Source organism: Homo sapiens, chromosome 2 (assembly GCF_000001405.40).
Source record: "Homo sapiens chromosome 2, GRCh38.p14 Primary Assembly".
NCBI classification, from domain to species: domain Eukaryota; kingdom Metazoa; phylum Chordata; class Mammalia; order Primates; family Hominidae; genus Homo; species Homo sapiens.
In genome coordinates, this window is record NC_000002.12 from 126683436 (window position 1) to 126703991 (window position 20556).

A 20556-nucleotide genomic window follows, 5' to 3' on the forward strand; every position below is an offset into this window, starting at 1 on the left:
TTTTATCCCCAGATTCTTCCTCCTTCAGAGTGCCTTGCTGATTTCTGCTGTTGTCAGGATCCTGGACTTTGGAGACGATGGTTCCACTTTTTCATACTCTCGCCTCACAAGGGAGAAAAAGCACTCTTTCCTTTTACTTAGATGTCATAGCTCAACTGAGGCAGATTGGTTATGGTGTTGAAGTAAGGTTCTGTTTAAATTTTTTTTCTAAGGCTCAGGGCGAGTAACAGGGAAATCTATACAGAGGAAACCCTGGAACCAGACATTTCAAGTTCTAAGTCACGGCAGCCTCACTTTCTTTCCAGTTCCCCTCCTGGGAGTACATCCCAAAAGCAAGTGACTAGGTATGAAAAGTTATCCAGCAAGACTCCAAGATGTACATAAGGAAGAGATGTCCTTTCCTGACTCTGCCTTCTGAGTGTTGAGCCTCTGCTTCATCCCAATTTACTGACATAGGAATGACTGTCTTCTCCAGGGCAGAGAGGCCACATCTCCTCCCCCCTCACCTTTGCAGGCCTCTACACTTCCATCCAGATGGTGCAGTGCAGCCTGCGTGGGTCCAATTCTGTCATCGATGTGGTGTTTTGATACCGCAGCAGCAGATAAGACCGGATAAGGGTTAGGAGGAGGAAAGCACTGCTGATCATCTTATAGAGTGTCAAAGCAGTACAGCTAAATTGCACAGCACCTTGGCAGCCTTGGGGATTGTTGGGGGACTGTTGTAAGGTCACCCATACAGACCTTCAGGGCAATCATTTTGACCTTGAGACTTTCAGACACGTTCTGAACAGGCTGGTCAAGTTCACATCAACCTCACCTGTGTATTCCATCTGCAAGACCAGACGAATGCACATGTGCTTTATGCACAGATAGGAAGAGTGGCCATGCCTGAGAGTGACGGCAGATTGAAGCCCTCATAGCATACATCCAGCAGGTCCCTGGAGCCCATGGTGATCAGGCATCCAGGGAAGCTCTCCACCCAACCCAGAGGCTTACTGACCACTCTATCATCATGGCCTTCCCTTCATGTATCCCTCCCACCACCATGCCCACTACCACACTGGCATTGCCCACCCACTATCTCAGAAGGACAGACTTGGGGCCACCTCTTCAGGAAGCCTTTCCTGAGGATACTGGAGATCTATGGGTTCCAACAGAGAGCAACCTTTTCCCAACTTACCCACATGCATTTGTCCTTGTCGGTTACACAGCGTGCTCCTGATGGCAGGGACTTGGCCTTAACGGTGGAGCATATGGCTGGAGCGTAGAAGGTGCTACAAAAGGTTTGCTGAAGGAAAGAATGAACCGGCACAATTATGAGCATCCCCATTGCCATAGAATCCTAGAGTCCTGGGGCTCAGTCTCACAGTTGTGTCTCCACAAGTCTCCCTAGCACCTCGTCAATGCTCATTTTGACGCTTCATCACATAGAGACTGTGGGCAGTCTGACTTTTGCACCTCCCCAGCCAAGTCATATGCTTCAGGGGGACGCGCACCATATTCTCCTCTCCCCTGTAACTCTGTGGCTGAATAAATGCTAACTGCTTAGCCAACACTGGCTGGCTTCTAGGAGAAATGGATGCGTGGGTAATAAGCTATTCATTTATTTCTTGGGGGCACTTTATTCTGAGACCCTACAGCCTGTACACTGCGTCTTTTCCGGAAGCAATGATAGCCAGCCATCAAGGGCAAGTAAACGCATTTGACCTTTCCTACCAAAAAGAAAAGTTAGTTAATGTACTTCAACTCTCATCTGATTTCTGCTTCACTTGTGCAAGGATGCTCAGGAATCTAGAGTAGGAAGAAAAACCACAGTGCTAGCTGAGAAGCACTTACCATGTCCCCAAAGGTTACTGTTCCTTCCCCCATTGCTGTCTGGCTCTTGAACCCCAAATCAGATTTGCACAAAGCCTTTCTGCTTCAGAGTGCTTGTTAAATTGACTTTTCTTTCTTTCTTTTTTTTTTTTGAGAGGGATTCTCACTCTGTCGCCCAGGTTGGAGTGCAATGATGCAATCTCAGCTCACTACAACCTCCACCTCCCAGGTTCAAGTGATTCTCCTGCCTTAGCCTCCTGAGTAGCTGGGATTACAGGCACCCGCCAGCATGCCCAACTAATTTTTGTATTTTTAGTAGAGATGGAATTTCACCATGTTGGTCAGGCTGGTCTTGAACTCCTGACCTCAGGTGTTCCACCCACCTCAGCCTCCCAAAGTTGGGATTACAGGCATGAGCCACTGCACCCGGCCTGGTAAATTGACTTTTCTAACCAGGCTTGTAGGTTCCTCGCAATTGAACACTCCAGGTAACTGCCACAGCACCTGGCCAACTGTCAAGCAGTCAACGTTGCTGTTGCTGCTGCATCACTGTCATCAACAAGGTTTGTCATTGCAGGAAGTCTCCAAGGACCCCCATGAAACACCTGCATTTCCTGTCATGATTTTGAGGCTGAAATCATCTTCCTCCTCCCAGAACACCTAGGTGTTCTAGTCTGAAGCCATCCTCACTCTCAACTCCCCTCCTTCGAGCCCTCACCCTGTGCCTGAATTCTTCCTTCTTTGCTGGGACAGATGGACAGGAGGAAGACAGGAAGTGGGGAACCCCTTCAACAACTCCTATGGCAGAGGGGAGCCATAGGAGATGGGCCGGGAAATGTAAAGACCAGCCCACGCAGGAAAAAAAGAGAACTTTTTAGCACAGTGTCATCTGAAAATGCAAGAGAAGAGAGGCTCTTGGTGGCAACAGAGGAGTGTGACTTCCAGCCTCAGGGCTAGCACCTGACCCCTGCTCTCCGTCCACATCTGAAAAATACCACTGGCCCTGAGAATCCATTGCAACTGAGGTTCTGCACCCCAACAGCTGCACTCAAGCTGCCAACTGAAGCAGAGAGCACTGCCCGCACTGCAGGGTTGTGCCTGTGTGCCCCGCTGCCTCCAGGGGTGGCTGCCTTCTGCCAGAGAATGGACAGCTGACATCCTGAGGACATAGAGAGTTAGTAGGAATGACTGTAGCCAATGGCAAATCCCATGGATGAAAAGCCACTCCCAACTCCACAAAGATGAGCATAGTGAAGGCTGCAGTTTAGTTGGTTCGTGGTTCCCCAGAAGGCTTTCAAACATTCAGCAGTTGTCATTCAGTGCCAGGCACCCAGTCTAATGCTGAGTATAGAGTTGTGAGCAAGACAAGCCTGAACGTGTGGAGCTTCCTGTCTGGTAGGGTGTTGCAGGGGGCCGGGGGGACCTTGCAACCTGGAGGAGGGCTGGGAAGAAAAAAAGTAGGATGCTTGGGTCTTTCCAAAAAATAGGTCCTCTCATGTCTGTCCAATCGTTGTGCTGGGTAATTGTCTATTTCTGATACCAGACCCAAGCTTGGCCGTAATCAACACCTTATTCTGCCATGAACCCACCCCCAAGGCTGCCCGCAGATCACCCCCATCCTAGTTGCTGAGCTCAGCATGATCCTAATCTCAACCTCAGAAGTATCCCTCAGCTCCAGCAAGGGGCAGGCTTTCATTCCAGGCCCCTTAAGCTGGATGCAGACCAACCACCTACTTTCTGGGCTGGATCTGAGCTCACTCAGCCAGTCTTCTCCAAAGACCTGATATCACTGCTGCTAGCTGAATGGGTACAGTGTAAGGGAGTGCGCCAAGGGGGGCTCTCACCCCTCCATCTCCAGAGGCTTCCGGAGCCTTGGAGCCGTGGATGGCAAGCAGACACTGGGGAGAAAGCTGAGAAGTGGGGAGAGCTGCCTTAGATGCTGAGCTCTCTGCCTGGAATGCTTATAGGCTTTGTGCAGCAAACTCCTATTTGCCCTTAAAGGACTAATCCTGATGTCACCGCTTCTGGAAGCCCTCTTTACACCAGCACTTCCCAGCCTACAGCATGAATCAGAATCTACTATAGTAATTACTGGGTCCCAGTCCTAGTGTTTTTCTTCAGTAGGTCTGGGCTGGGGCCTGAGAATTTCTATTTCTAACAGGCTCCCAGAGGATGCTGTGTATCCAGAGACTATGCTTTGAGAATTGCTGTCTCACAGCATCCACACCTTCCCAGACAGCCTTGAGCTTCCTCTCTATGCTGATTCTGATCTATCAATATAGGGCAGCTCTGGTTGGGCTGAAATGTCACTCCCCTGGAGTCTGTCACATTGTGAAACATGTGTAAATTCAGCTCCACACACTTGGTGGGGTGGGGGGCATGGAGAGAGTAGTTCCAGCTGAGGGAACTTTCCTGCCCACCACGCTCCTCAGAGGGCATGAGCTTGGAGGGAGCCCACATTGGGAGGCCCAGCTGGCAATCCCAATGGTCTCCCAATGAGGCCCCGAAGCTCTCAGGTCCTACCTCCCCTCCCAGCCTGGCTGCCCTGCTGGAAGTGTGTGTAGTCTCCCAGTATACAGATTTGAGTACAAGGTCCCTAACCAGAAGCCAAGAAATGCACCCCAAGTTGTTCAAGCCAAATATCTCACCTGGAAACCAGCTTACCAAGGCTCTACACTTTGCAGTGCCCTGTAAGGCTAAACACACTGACTCAAGGCTGCCAGGGCTTCAAATGATTGACTTCTGACTCTCAAGGTACAAGCCGGGGAAAATAACACTTTTCTGGGACGCAGCTGCCAAATCTGGAAAATGGGGCTAATAATAACTCCTATCGAATGGAAATGTTGCAAGGTCTGAGTTAAAATACATTAAATGTTGAGAGCAGCACCTGGCATTTAGTATGAAATTATTAACTGTTTTAAAGGAAGGGAAAATAACAGTCCCTTCTAACCCTGATTGTGTTGGACAAACTGTCATAAGAAATGCTGGTCTTTACCTGGAAAATTTCTAAGGGCAGTTCTGGGTATTTGAGCTTCTATAACCATCCATGCCTACTTAAGCAAGATGTTATTCTTTCTTTCCGAACTTTGAGGTGCATAGTGGTTAGAAAAGTCTAGAACTCCACCACTAAATCCATTCATTTATACATGCATGCATTTACTCATGCATTCAGTGAATATTTATTGAGTACCTACTATGAGCTAGATACTAAATTGGAGGCTGCACTTGTTCACTGTAATAAAGTCTAGCACCCACTTGAACTTGCTATGGCTCCTGCTTCAGGTCTTGCTACTGAGAAGCACTGTGAATGCTGGATCCTCTACCCTGCCTGGTTCCTGGTTCCCAAGGTGCTGACTCCAGACCCAGAGTTCACTGGGTCTCTTGGCGGCCTCAGTGCCTTGTATTATCTTCTTCCCCACCTCCAAGCTCCTTGGTGGCCCCAGACACCACTAGCTTGGCCCACCTGCTTCCTGCTGTGGACCCCTAGCTGGGAGTCTGTTTTCCCCTCACCCACTATGACTCCTGACTCCAGCAGGCAGTTACTTATAAGAAAGAGGCATCTGGCAGCTGCACTGGGGAGAATGACCTCATAGCACTATAATTAAAGTGATCATCTGAGTGGAAATGACTATTATGAAGCATCCTTCTCTGTTTTATTATGTAGAGCCATTGTAATGGGAATACGGGATTTCCTATGTTAATGCTGATATTTCTGTGATCCAATAAATCCTTCTTCACAATCATCTCCCAGAGGAAAGAAGGCATTCTGTGCAGCAGCTCTAGGAAACATCAGGTCCCCAATGTCCTAGACATCCTACCCTCTTTGGCCAGGCCATTAAGCTGTGAAAAAACACACTCAGTAACTTGGATAATGTCATAGAGTGGTCCTTCCCACAGCAGAGTCAATGTAAAGACCTATGGGAGGGCTTCAGGAATGACTCCTCAGACAGGAGCCCTGGGAAGGGCTTCTCCAAGAGAGAAAGTGCACTCCAGAGGCAAGAGCACTGGCCAAGTCCTGACCTGATACCGGATGAGCTGTGTGATCATGGGCACATCACGTCTCTGAGCCTTGGTGTTCTTCCTGTGAGATGGGCCAATAACACCAGGCACCTCATAGGATGGATGTGAAGACTGCATGATAGAGTAGATAGAAGGCAGTTAAAGCAACACCTGGTGCTATGGTTTGGATGTGGTTTGACCCTGCAAAAGCTCATGTTGAAATTTGGTTCCCAAGGTGGCAGTGATGGGAGGTGGGACCTAGTGGGGGATAGTTGAGTCACAGGGGCAGATCCCTCATGCATACATTAATACCCCCTTGAGGGAGGGAGGGAGTTCTAGCTGTCGTGAGACTGGATTAGTCACTGGAGAGCAGGTTGTTATAAAAGCAAATTCAGCTTTCTAAACTCTCTTGCTTTCTATATCACCTTGTGGTCTCTTTGCGAATGTCAGATCCCCTTCTGCTTTTTGCCATGAGTGGGAGCAGTATGAGGCCCTCACCAGATGCAGCTGCCCAATTTGGACTTCCCAGCCACTAGAACTGTGAGCCAAACAAACCTCTCTTCTTTACAAATTACCCAAGTATTCAGCTATAGCAACTCAAATTGGACTGAGACACCTGGTGTGAGCATCAGACACTCCACAAACATTCTTTCTTAAACACAACAAGAGTCCCTGCCTTCATACACAGCACAGATATCTGTTGAGCATCTACCACATGCAGGCACCACTCTCAGTGGAGGCATACTGCAGAGAACTTAAATGGGCCTGGAGTGACCTGGTGGTTCAGGTTCAAACAGTTCCATCCCAGTCAGTGACCAAGCAGAACCTGGTTCCTGGTCTGTGCACCCCTGCTAGGAGTCGGTGGGTGCACCACACTGTCTCTGTCCACTTGAACCCATTCTCAGAGCTGCTCACACCTGAGCAAAGGATGCAGCTTGGGCCAAGGTGCTGCTAGGCATGGAGAGTCTTCCTCTCTGACCTCAGATTCTTGTCCTCTGTTCACAGAGCCTGATCCGGGGATGGCCTCTGCCTCCACCACAATGCATACTACCACCATTGCAGGTGAGTTCTCATCACAGAGCCTCACCATAATGGAAACTGCCGTGACTTCAGATGAGCTCTCATCACAGAGCCCTTTAAGCAGCCAGGGTTGGGGGACTTGGTGAAAACATCCAGGGGAGAACTGACCTAAGGACTTGGACAGGGGTGGCTGTGGCCATTTTTTCTCTCCCTCAGAGGTGGTTTTGAATGTGGAATGGAGGAGTCTACCCCTGGGTAAATAAATATACATAGGTATGTCATATGTATCTGTATTTATATTTATTGGCCTTTCTCAGGGCTGTTGACTCACAGGAACTCAGGAGCTGGAGAGGCAGCAGTTTTGGTGAGGGAGGTTGAGGGTGGAGGTGAGATGAGGGTAGACTGACCAGGCTACTTAGACTTCTCCACCGTCTCCCTCATCCCACATTATTTTCTTCCCTGGGTCCATGACCCCCAACCCTCCATCCTCAAGGAAACTTGAGCCTGCCTTTGCCTTGCTTTGAACCCTGAGCAACGGGCTCCCCATGGGTCATGGCTGTGACTGCAAACTGTGTTTGAAGAACAACCAAGTTTGGGAGGTGCTGTGTGCTCTGCGACCTTCTTTGAGATCCACACTTCTCAGCAGCTTATTAATAACTCAGGAAACATCTACAATTTGAAAAGAAAGAAAAAGCAGCAGAAGCAAGCAATCAAAGACACCTGTTGGACTCTGTGTAACCTGGCATTCTCCAACTCATTGCACCACTGAGCTTTTATTCTTCCTAGGTGATATTATTAACATTATGCAGATACAAGTGTTCCCCTGAAGGCAGTAGGAAGTTTAGGAAATTGTTCTATAAAGGTGGGACTTGGGAGCAGTTTCAGACTTTCCATATTCTTCAGCAGTCCCTCCCCAAGGCCTCCAAATAAACCTGCATTCTAAGAAAAGACAGAGGCTTGCTCTGCAGCTTCAAAGTAAATGCCCAAACTCAAAACACCCCCACCCCATGAGACTGCTGCCCCCTCACTCTCAAGGTCCTGAGTGATCTGACCCCTCCTGAGCAGCCTTACACTGTACTTCCCCACCCCTCTGGAGTCCCAGCAGAAGTGAGGGGTGACTGCCCCTCGCACAGCCAACACCTTGGCATTCTCTGCGTTACCCTCTCCCACTTCAGTCCTTTGTGTGGCCAAGTCCTGCTCCTCCTGCAGACTCACCCCAGTCCTCAATCGCCAGGAGGGAATGGGAGCAGGGTAGGCTGAGGAGCAGTCATCGGGCCATTGAAAAACACAAACCACACAACCTGCCCCAAGCACAGTTAATAGCCTCATTTTTCCCCCTGTATAGTGTACATACAGCAACCAGCTCTGCCCTGTTTTCTGGGACTTCCCTGGTTTTAGAATGAATAATCTCCAAGCAGTGTTCTTGCAACTGTTGCAAGGACCATGTTAAATTGCTTTAAATGTTGAGACCTGCACCTGGCACCTAGTAAGCGATTGTTAGTTGTTTTAAAGGAAGAGGAAATAACAGTCTCTTCTAACGCTGATTGTGTTGGACAAACTGTCCTAATAAATGCTGTCTTCACCTGGAAAATTTCTGAGGGCAGTTCTGGGTATTTGAGCTTCTATAACCATCCATGCCTACTTAAGCAAGGTGTTATTCTTTCTTTCTGAACTTTGAGGTGCTTGTTGATTGGAAAAGTCTAGAACCCCACCACTAAATCCATTCATTTATATATGCATGCATTTACTCATGCATTCAGTGAATATTTATTGAGTACCTACTATGTGCTAGATACTAAACTGGAGGCTGCACTTGTTCACTCTATATAATAAAGTCTAGCACCCACTTGAACTTGCTACGGCCCTTGCTTCAGGTCTTGCTACTGAGAAACACCGTGAATGCTGGATCCTATACCCTGCCTGGTTCCTGGCTCCCGAGACCCAGATCCTGAGCCAGTGTTCACTGGGTCCCTGGGCTGCCTCAGTGCCTTGTATTATCTTCTTCCCCACCTCCAAGCTCCTTGGTGGCCCCAGACACCCCTAGCTTGGCCCATCTGTGTCCTGCTGTGGACCCCTAGCTGGGAGTCTGTTTTCCCCTCACCCATTATGACTCCTGACTCCAGCAGGCAGTTACTTATAAGAAAGAGGCATCTGGCAGCTGCACTGGGGAGAATGACCTCATAGCACTATAATTAAAGTGATTATCTGAGTGGAAATGACTATTATGAAGCATCCTTCTCTGTTTTATTATGTAGAGCCATTGTAATGGGAACGTGGGATTTCCTATGTTAACACTGATATTTCTGTGATCCAATAAATCCTTCTTCACAATCATCTCCCAGAGGAGAGAAGGCATTCTGTGCAGCAGCTCTAGGAAACATCCCGGTCCCCAATGTCCTAGACATCCTACCCTCTTTGGCCAGGTCATTAAGCTGTGAAAAAACACACTCAGTAACTTGGATAGTGTCATAGAGTGGTCCTTCCCACAGCAGAGTCAATGTAAAGACCTATGGGAGGGCTTCAGGAATGACTCCTCAGACAGGAGCCCTGGGAAGGGCTTCTCCAAGAGAGAAAGTGCACTCCAGAGGCAAGAGCACTGGCCAAGTCCTGACCTGATATCGGATGAGCTGTGTGATCAAGGGCACATCACGTCTCTGAACCTTGGTGTTCTTCCTGTGAGATGGGCCATTAACACCAGGCACCTCATAGGATGGATGTGAAGACTGCATGATAGAGTAGATAGAAGGCAGTTAAAGCAACACCTGGTGCTATGGTTTGGATGTGGTTTGACCCTGCAAAAGCTCATGTTGAAATCTGATTCCCAAGGTGGCAGTGATGGGAGGTGGGACCTAGTGGGAGATATTTGAGTCACAGGGGCAGATCCCTCATGCATACATTAATACCCCCTTGAGGGAGGGAGGGAGTTCTAGCTGTCGTGAGACTGGATTAGTCACTGGAGAGCAGGTTGTTATAAAAGCAAATTCAGCTTTCTAAACTCTCTTGCTTTCTATATCACCTTGTGGTCTCTTTGCGAATGTCAGATCCCCTTCTGCTTTTTGCCATGAGTGGGAGTAGTATGAGGCCCTCACCAGATGCAGCTGCCCAATTTGGACTTCCCAGCCACTAGAACTGTGAGCCAAATAAACCTCTCTTCTTTATAAATTACCCAAGTATTCAGCTATAGCAACACAAAATGGACTGAGACACCTGGTGTGAGCATCAGACACTCCACAAACATTCTTTCTTAAACACAACAAGAGTCCCTGCCTTCATACACAGCACAGATATCTGTTGAGCATCTACCACGTGCAGCACCACTCTCAGTGCAGGCATTAGGCAGATAACTCAAATGGGCCTGGAGTGACCTGGTGGTTCAGGTTCAAACAGTTCCATCCCAGTCAGTGACCAAGCAGAACCTGGTTCCTGGTCTGTGCATCCCTGCTAGGAGCAGTGGGTGCGCCGCACTGCTCCTTTCCACTTGGACCCATTCTCAGAGCTGCTCACACCTGAGCAAAGGATGCAGCTTGGGCCAAGGTGCTGCTAGGCATGGAGAATCTTCCTCTCTGACCTCAGATTCTTGTCCTCTGTTCACAGAGCCTGATCCAGGGATGTCTGGATGGCCGGATGGCAGAATGGAGACCTCCACCCCCACCATAATGGACATTGTCGTCATTGCAGGTGAGCTCTCATCACAGAGCCCTTCAAGCAGCCAGGGTGGGGGGCCTTGGTGAAAACATCCAGGGGAGAACTGACCTAAGGACTTGGGCAGTGGTGGCTGTGGCCATTTTTTCTCTCCCTCAGAGGTGGTTTTGAATGTGGAATGGAGGAGTCTAGCCCTGGGTAAATATATATATACATGCATACATCGTACGTATCTATGTATGTATTTATTGGCCTTTCTCAGGGCTTTTGACTCACAGGAACTCAGGAGCTGGAGAGGCAGCAGTTTTGGTGAAGGAGGTTGAGGGTGGAGGTGAGATGAGGGTAGACTGACCAGGCTACTTAGACTTCTCCACCATCTCCCTCATCCCACATTATTTTCTGCCCTGGGTCCATGACCCTCAACCCTCCATCCTCAAGGAAACTTGATCCTGCCTTTGCCTTGCTTTGAACCCTGGGCAAGGGGCTCCCCATGGGTCATGGCTGTGACTGCAAACTGTGTTTGAAGAACAACCAAGTTTGGGAGGTGCTGTGTGCTCTGCGACCTTCTTTGAGATCCACACTTCTCAGCAGCTTATTAATAACTCAGGAAACATCTACAATTTGAAAAGAAAGAAAAAGCAGCAGAAGCAAGCAATCAAAGACACCTGTTGGACTCTGTGTAACCTGGCATTCTCCAACTCATTGCACCACTGAGCTTTTATTCTTCCTAGATGATATTATTAACATTATGCAGATACAAGTGTTCCCCTGAAGGCAGTAGGAAGTTTAGGAAATTGTTCTATAAAGGTGGGACTTGGGAGCAGTTTCAGACTTTCCATATTCTTCAGCAGTCCCTCCCCAAGGCCTCCAAATAAACCTGCATTCTAAGAAAAGACAGGCTTGCTCTGCAGCTTCAAAGTAAATGCCCAAACTCAAAACACCCCCACCCCATGAGACTGCTGCCCCCTCACTTTCAAGGTCCTGAGTGATCTGACCCCTCCTGAGCAGCTTCACACTGTACTTCCCCACCCCTCTGGAGTCCCAGCAGAAGTGAGGGGTGACCGCCCCTCGCACAGCCACCACCTTGGCATCCTCTGCATTACCCTCTCCCACTTCAGTCCTTTGTGTGGCCAAGTCCTGCTCCTCCAGCAGATTCGCCCCGTCCTCAGTCCCCAGGAGGGAATGGGAGCAGGGTAGGGTGAGGAGCAGCCATCAGGCCATTGAAAAACACAAACCACACAACCTTCCCCAAGCACAGTTAATAGCCTCATCTTTTTTCCCCCTGTATAGTGTACATAGAGCAACCAGCTCTGCCCTGTTTTCTGGGACTTTCCTGGTTTTAGAACGGAAAATCTCCAAACAAGGTTCAGTCCTGGGGTATGATTCTAACGTGTCTGCAGAGTGCTTAGAGTGGTTAGTAGCAGAACTGTGAGGAAGAAAAAGAAAAGGGAGGGAAGGAAGGAGAGGAGGGAAGAGGAAAGGAGAATCATTTTAGGAAGGCACAGGTTACAGTGCCACCACACAACAGGTTGGTGAAGCATGGGGAAGGAATGAACTGGCCTGTTTGGTGTTGGTACAGTTGTCTCCAGTGTACACGGTTCAACTTATGAGTTCTTGAGTTTGGAATGGCGTGAATGCAAAAGCATTCAGTAGAAACGGTACTTTGAATTTTGAACTTTGACCATTTCCCAGGCTGGCAATATATAGTATGATACACTATATTATAAAATAGTCTCTGGGTCAGATGATTTTGCATGACTTTAGGTTAATGTTAAGTGTTCTGAGCCTGCTTAAGGTAGGCTAGGCCAAGCTTCGATGCTCAGTAGGTTTGGAGTATTAAATGCATTTTTCATTTACAGTATTTTTAACTTATTATGGGCTTACAGGAACCTGGCTCCCATCATAAATCAAGGAGCATCTCTTTTGGTTGTGGCATTGTATCTGTCCTCACACAACCCCTGTGGGTCTTGACCACCATCCCAGGCCCCAGAGCCCCTGCCTCAGACTGACCCTTGCACCTCTTCCCACCTGCAGGTGTGATTGCTGCTGTGGCCATCGTCCTAGTCTCCCTCCTCTTCGTCATGCTGCGCTACATGTACCGGCACAAGGGCACGTACCACACCAATGAGGCCAAGGGCACGGAGTTTGCTGAGAGTGCAGATGCAGCCCTGCAGGGAGACCCTGCCCTCCAAGATGCTGGTGATAGCAGCAGAAAGGAGTACTTTATTTGAGGGACAACAGACTTCACTTCCCTGAATGCCTCCCCCATCTCCATCAGGAAAAATACACCCCATCGCCCAGCACCCCTGCTGATACCACCAGACAGAGAGAGAGAGCACTTGATTCTTCCCGAGATAGCCACCTGGAAACACTAGGTGCCTGCCCAGGGAGGAACGGAGGAGGACTCGCGCTACAAGAGGCCACTCCCAGGGACCCAGGGAGGCGATGGCCACCCCAGAGGCCACCTTTTGCTCCACGGAGGTGGGAGAAAATCTGGGCACATGGGGCCCCCTGGGCAGTGCAGGACAACATCAGCTCACTGGCAGGAAAGTCCTTGTTGAGGGTGAGGGGGTGCTGGGGTACCCGGGGGCTGGGGAAGCAAGGAAATAAGTCATCTGTATGCTGACTGGGGATAATGGCATCAAATGTCAGTCCTTGACATTTGGGGGGAACAGCAGGTGCCAGAGCTAAAAGGTACCTTTGTCTGCCATTGATCCAGCTCAGAACGATTGGAAATAAATTTGAAATGTAACCGAGCATTCCGAGTCCAACAGTATTACTGTAGTTATCTGGGGAAAGATAAACGCCACCCAGGGCTTGCTTTTCACCTGTGCAATATTATATTCTCTGACGGGGCCAGGACAGTTCATTTCTGGCTCTTGTGGGGGCCAGTTCCCAGAGAGCACAGCCAGTACAGGCGGCTCCCAAGCCTGCCAAGGGAGGAAGGACAAGTGACCAGCTTTCCTTTCCCTACAGGGGCACCAGCTGCAGGAAACAAAAGGAAGGGTGAAATGTCCCTCTAGAAATAGCCGTTCCCAGTGGCCAGGGCACTAGCTGAAGTGTTGATTTTCCAAGGTGCAGTATTAGAACAAATGGACCTGATCCAAAAATATGAGTGAGTCTTGTCCTTCCAATCACAGTGACCGTGGCACCCAGGGGTGGAAGCAGAGGCTGCAGAGCTCCGCTCGATGGCTTTGGGTCCCAGCTCCCCTTTCCTGGTCCCAGGACCTTGAACAACTTGTTTGACCCCTCTGGCCCCCGTGTTCTCCTCCCTCACGTACAAATGATGCTGATAATGACACCTCTGTTGTGCCTGACTCCCAGCGTTGAGGGTCAAGTGCTCAGACCTCCCTGTCTTCCAGTGTCAGCAACTGTGTGCAGCGGTAAACAAACATTCTTCATTGCACTACTTCTGCACACTTCCTGAGGAGTAGCTGTCACTCAAAATCACAGAGTAACAGGAAGAGAAGATGAACTGGTTAACCATCCCCTTCCAGGCGAGTTTTTCCAAGATTCCCAACAGCTCAGCTGTCACTCCAAGGACCAGCAGCTATGAGGTTAAAGACTGCACGCCAGGTGCTGGGGTCACCTAGGTACTCCCTGGGGCTCAGGATTCTTGAGGCTGCACCATCTCCACTTGGGAGTTGGCAGAAAGGTCCCAAAGATCTCCCTGGGAGGATTACGGGGAATGTGAGCTCAGTGGGGGGTCCACCTGTCAGAGGAGCTGGCAATCCTGGGGCCGTGGTGGGGGAGATGAGCTGGGAGCTCACAGAAGCAGTGATGGCAGAAGCCTGGTCCAAAAGTGAGACCTTTTCCTGGTGACCCGAGCTCGCAGGCCTTCATCTATGAAATAAAGGGCTTGGCTGTATCTGCATGGCCCACACTGATCTTCAGAACACCAGTGTGGCAAAAATGGCGATAAATAGGCCCAATGAATATGCACAAGTCAGTTTAGAAAATGATGTATCATGTAAAGTGAAAGCAGTGCAGGCTCCTCAGCGTCTTCACTGGCCCAGTGTGGATGCTGACACTGGTGGGAGGGGAGCTGTGCACATAGCCTTTCCCAAGCATGTTGAACCAGAGACCCCATTTGCTCACACGATACCTGCTAGGAACTCGTGGACCAAGTGGTCCTCGGAGCACATTTTGGAAACACTCAGGTAAATGGTTTCTAACATCCCCTCCTGTGGCAATGCCATTTCAGGTTTTTGAGCACCCACATCTTCCAGGTTTGGGAGCACAGATCACTGTCCAGTGAGCACAGAGGAGGCACCAGAACCTACACATAGACACTCATTGGGGTGAAAAGGCTCCAGAAGAGGATGAGCCCAGGGCTCTCGAGGCCTCCTAGAGAGCAGGTGCCTATGTGGGGGAAGGATGATGGTAACTCATTCCTTTCTCCCTCATTGGGCCCAGGGGCTGTCTATACTAAGCTTGACTCCCTGGCCACTCACCTCCCCTTCCTCACCTCCCTTTATCCTCACTCTTTTGCCTGCCTAGTGTCCTGGAAAACAATTGAAACACAGTCTGCTCCCAGTCTACTGGGTCCCCAGACCCAGCCAGAATCAGGCTCAGCAGCAGTAGTGATGACATGGAAGCTGCAGAGCTGGTTTGTCCCAGGTGGCCTAGCTCAGATGCCACGAGGAGGGAACTGTTGCAGGCTAACTGCAGAGGCCAGATGGCCACACCAGAGAGCAGGGCAACTTAAAGAGATAATGCACACACACACACAGAGTGCACACTGGTGGACACTTGTGGGCAATTAATAATCCTCTCTTAGATTAGGGACCAGGTTTTTAAATCTGATACTTCCTCCAGCAATGCACTAAGTCATTCTGCAGCACGTCTGCAACCAGTGTTAGTTGGGGTAAATAATGCACAAATTTGCACACACCAAAGAGTCAAAAAGACTGTTAAGAAGGAAGAAAGAGGAGAGGAAAGGAAGAGAGGGGATGGGGCAGAGAAGGGCTGGAAGAAGAGGGAAAGGGACAGAGCTCTGTCTGTAGAAAATCCCAGCTTCTTTGCACATAAGCCTCCTTTAATCCTCGAAATAATCCTGGCAAGTGGATATCCTTATCCTCCCTTTAGATCTGTAGAAATTGAGGTGCAGAAAGGTCAATGAGCTTTACTGGAGGTCTCACAGTTTCTAATGGCAGAGGAGCCATTTAACTCAGGCCTGTCTGGCCTCCCTTCAGGAGGTTGAGATGAGTCAGCAGGAGCTGCCCAGGGAGCAGAGCAGGTGGCATCAAGACTCATGGATGCTGGCATGACTGACCAGTGCTGGGATCAGAGAATCCCCAGCCAGGTCTCTGCCACCCAGTGGCCCTGGACAGTGATGGCCCAGGCACCTCTGCCAGCATCCCCATCCCTAGTCAGAGCTGGCCTGGTTGAGAGGTCTCTCCTGGTGGCGAGAGATAATGCAGTGGAGCCTATCTGCTCTTGGTGGGATGATTAGCTTATAGAGATAGCAAGTGCTGCCAGCCCGGTCACACCTCATCCACACTTCCAGCACCCAGGACGCTTGCACCCAGGCCAGTCTTATGAAAAGGAAAGTGATCATCTAGATTACATCATGCCAAAGCATCCCTACCAACACTTCTTAGATGATTTGTGCTTCTTCAAAGTGCTCATTCCCAAACTAAGAGTATTTAGTGATTAAATTTCAGATTCAGAGACAGATAGATAATATATATGTGTGTGTGTCTGAGTATATAGCTGTAATCCACAAACATTTATTAGGTACCATGTAAGTGTTGAAATTACATAGCTGAATATAGCAGCCTCTGCCTTCAGGGGTCCCTAGCTTAGGGGAGAAGATAAACATGTAAATATATATAAGCCCTAAAGTATTATGGATGCTGAGAGAGTAGTGATACAGATCAATTTAAAACACTAAGGAGAGAGAGATCAGTTCTATCTTGGGAGTGAGATGGACTTAGGAAAGGCTTTAGAGAAGAAGGGAGGCTTGGGCCAGTTGCACAGTATATAAGGGCTTGACCACAGAGCGGCTTCAGTCCCAAGCTAAGAAATTAGGACTTTGTTGCATAGGTAATAAAGAGTCACTGAAGGAACAAGTCAGTCTCTATCATATGGATAAGATAATGATCAAGTTAAACAAGACAAAAGATGAAAATGCACCATGGAAATTCACAAAGGGGCTTCAAAAGATCTAGCAAGGCTCAGACCCTGCCTGTGGAGCTGGAGGCCTCCCCACCCTGGGGCTCACCCACTCCTCCAGCTGCTCCATTGTTTAGTCTGAATTTCACATGACTTGGCCCATCCTGCCTGGAGAGAGATGGATCTCATCTATTCACCAGAAGAAGCGGCAGGAGGTCAAGGCTTTGAGCCAATTGTTATGTAAATATTAGAGAGAATTTTTTCTTCTTTTTTTAATGGAAGGAACTCCCCTTCATGATTTTATCTTTTTGTCCTCCCTGGAGAGAATCTGCTCAATTGTTTTTCATTCCTTACCTAAAGATTTTTATCATCATAGCAACGGGAATGATTTAGGGGCCAACAGTACTTTAGCTGGCCCACTGCCACAAGTAGAACTACAGGCATTTTAATGTTTGCAATTTAGCATGTCAGCATGATGCTATGAAAAGAGAGTGGCTCTGGAATTGGACAGACTTGGACAAAAATCTCATCTCAGGCACTAACTAGCTCTGCGTGACCTAGGAAGAGTTACTTAACTTCTCCGTGCTCCACGGTTCTTACCAGTAACATGGTGACAAAATATTTGCATTTTCATGTTTTGAATAGTAAGTTAAAGGAAGATATAAACTTGCCAAGAATTGTGAAGGGTCTGAGGTTTTGCCCTGCTTTTAAGTGAGCAATTCGGCCTATACCAGTTTCATAGATGCTGACAGAAGACATGAGATACCTGGGTCAGAGATAAAGGCACTTACAGCCCAGCAAGCAGCATGACATCAGCATATTTGAATGGCATCTCTTCATCTCCAAGTTAGACGTGGGTGATGTGGGTGATCTCAGAGGATGTTTATCCATATGGTGGGTGGAGTTCCAGAAGAGAAATCTTGAACCAAGAAAATCAGAATCTCATAATGGGCAGTAAAATGCCTGCCTTTTGCACTGGAGGGAGCTACTACTGGGTCTTCCAAGTCTGTTTAATACACAAACATCCTGGAAAAGGTAGTCAAGAACACAGTGCAGTTCCTGCCTCACTCAACAGATGTGAAAAATGCAAGAGACCCATGGAGAATTGTCTCCCAAAAAGGTAGGCACTGCCTAACATTGTGCCTGGTACCTGTGAGTACTCAATAAATACATGTTGAATGAACAATGCAATGAACTAAATAACAGGGCTCATAGGTCTTTAAAGTGTCCCAGCTTTCTCTCCAGAAAATCAAAAACATCTTCTGTTTCTCAAACCACATGCAAGAGTTTAAAGCAGAAAACTTTTCTCCATCCTCTGGCCAGTGTATGAGAGATCTCACTGCAGGCTTGGTCTTTTTTATTGGTTTGCTATGACAGGAACACATAGAGGCATACAGCTGTGAGAATGTTTTGGTTCATGGGTGGATCCATAAATCCAGAGCCCTGGCAATAAGGTTGGGTGGAGTTCGCCAGCCTCTATTCTAAGATCATCCTGTAATCAAGAGGTCTCTTGCCAACATTATAGACCTCCAAAGCTGATGTTAAGATATGCAGATCTCCTAGTTTTTTTAGAACCAAATACAAAAAAAAAGCCACCTTTTATTTTTCAAGTAGCTGAAATTATTATCATTTTTTTTCTCTCAAAAAGTACTTAGAAACAAGTTCTATATTCAGCTTTCTCAAGATAAAGCTTCCTCTGGGCTTACTGAGATTCCCCAAGTCAGAGTGAGGCCACTCCTTTCTCCAGGGAAGGACCTTTTTTGTTTTGTTTTGTTTTGTTTTGTTTTTGAGACAGAGTTTTGCTCTCGTTGCCCAAGCTGGAGTGTAATGATGCAATCTCGGCTCACTGCAACCTCCGCCTCCCAGGTTCAAGCAATTCTCCTGTCTCAGCTTCCCAAGTAGCTGGGATTACAGGCGTCCACCACCATGCCCAGCTAATTTTTTGTATTTTTAGTAGAGAAGGGGTTTCACCATGTTGGCCAGGCTGGCCTTGAACTCCTGACCTCAGGTAATTCGCCCACCTCAGCCTCCCAAAGTGTTGGGATTACAGGCGTGAGCCACCGCGCTCAGCCCAGGAAGGACCATTTTGTTCATAGCTGCAGTGCACGGACATTGTCTTCTTAAGGTAACAAATGGAGGTGTTAGGGTGAAAGGATGGTAGGCATCCAGACCTCAGCTCCCAGGCAGAGATAACACCATTAATTCCTTCATTCGGAACACAAATGTTCTCTGCATTTACACTACAGGTGGTGCAATGCCAGAGATTTGGAGCTGAGCAAGGCCTTACTGGCTCCCTGGAGGACACTGGCTGCAATAAGAGATGTGTTAAAATAGTTCAAGCTGCAAGGGTTCCATCACAGAGGACCAAATGGCCTGAGGGGAAGTCAGGGAAGGATTGTTGGAGGGAGAATTCTGACATGGGTTTTGAAGGAGCTATCTAGGTGAGGGGATGACAAATGCAGAGAAATCGAGGTGATATTGGAACCTGCAAGTGTGCAGTTCTTCCTGCAGCTTCAGGCATGTATGGAAGTAACCAAGGATGACTCCGACACAGAGACTGCAAAGAACCAGCTAATGAGGGGGCTGGCCACTATGCTGTAATTGAAGGTGGTAAGAGCCCTTTACAGGAGGAAAGTGGGTGCAGATATGGTCAGATTTGCAAATTATGTTGCATCCAATGTTGAGAGGAATTAGAGGTTGTACTCTGGGGAGGAAGACAGCCTAGAAATTACTGAGGCCTGAACAGGGAAAAGCACCTTATGAGAGATCTTTCAGGATGAGACAAAATCCAGTTAATTTTTTTTTTAAATAAAAATATGGAACGCTTCATGAATGTGCATGTTATCCGTGCACAGGGGCCGTGCTAATCTCTGTATCATTCCAATTTTAGTATATGTGCTGCGTAAGTGAGCACCAAAATCCTCTTTTAACACAATTGTGAATCAATATGACCCTGAATTGGTTATGAAGCACCATGTGTACAGAACACAATAGCCCCTGGAGCAAAAGATCAAACTAGACCTGTTGAGTTTGTGGATGAAGACCGTTCATCTGCCTTTGTACTAAAATCTCTATGGAATAAACCAAGTTTTTAAGTATCACATAGACACATCTGCAGCTCCTCTGCAACAAAAGATACCTAACCAGGATCCCAAAGAGAAAATGAAAGCAAAGGATTCAGAAGGGCTACCTCATGAGGCCTGGCCTCTATGCCTCTGGGAGGCCAGGGGGAAGGCCATTCCACCCAGACTTTTGACCTGAGTCAGAAATTTTACCCTGCAAGTTTTCTTCTTTGGGATGAGTATTAGAAAGCTCTCTGCCAAGTACGTCCCTCCAGGCAGGGAGGAAGCAGGGAGAATAGTGAGAAGGCCCACCACCTTCCCTCTTCATCTGGAGACAGGAGAGCCGAAAGGGATGCCGAGGCATGTGTGTGGAGTGTGTGGTGGGAGGGACACAGGAGGGAAGAAAATGTAGATGATTCCAAGTTCACTACTCTTCCCCGGCTCAGCTCTGACACGCTTCTCAGGTCGGAATGCCATCCTGTGCCCATGTGAGAACATGAGACCAAAAAAAGGCTGTGCTAGAAGTCAGGCAAGTGTTTCAGACAAGGTCATAAAATCCAGTATGGGACTCGTGTCCCACTTTCTCATTTTCCTAAGAAATGAGGTCATGGAGATGCCAGAGGGAGCAGGCTTCACATATGTTATAAGTACTGGATACCTGTGCAATGCTATCATCTGTTCCATACTGGGCACCTGTGCAATGCTGGCTAGCTGTGGAATACTAGCCACCTGGGCAATACTGGCACCTGTACAATACTAGCATCTAAGCAGTACTGAACAGCTGTGTACCACTAGCATCTGAGTAATATCAACACATGTGCTATGCAGAATACCTGTGCAATACTGGCCCCTATGCAATACTGAGCACCTATTCTATACTGGGCACCTGAGCAATACTGGC

The 20556-nt window shown here is 48.3% G+C and overlaps 1 protein-coding gene and 1 pseudogene across 5 annotated transcripts in view; one reads left to right on the forward strand and one right to left on the reverse strand.

The window, feature by feature from the left end:
* GYPC (glycophorin C (Gerbich blood group)) overlaps positions 1 to 13232 on the forward strand; it is a 40510-nt gene extending 27278 nt beyond the window's left edge. For 3 of the 5 annotated variants that reach the window (XM_047444034.1, XM_047444035.1, NM_002101.5), the window contains 3 exons: positions 6820 to 6876; positions 10429 to 10512; positions 12511 to 13232. In XM_047444034.1, coding sequence (XP_047299990.1) covers positions 6820 to 6876; positions 10429 to 10512; positions 12511 to 12707 — 338 coding nt within the window. In that variant the 3' untranslated portion in view covers positions 12708 to 13232. Of the gene's footprint in view, positions 1 to 2392; positions 3211 to 6819; positions 6877 to 10428; positions 10513 to 12510 lie in introns of all 5 variants that reach the window. The other 2 variants (NM_001256584.2, NM_016815.4) reach the window with 2 other exon arrangements.
* Positions 19404 to 19507, reverse strand: RNU6-675P (RNA, U6 small nuclear 675, pseudogene; annotated as a pseudogene).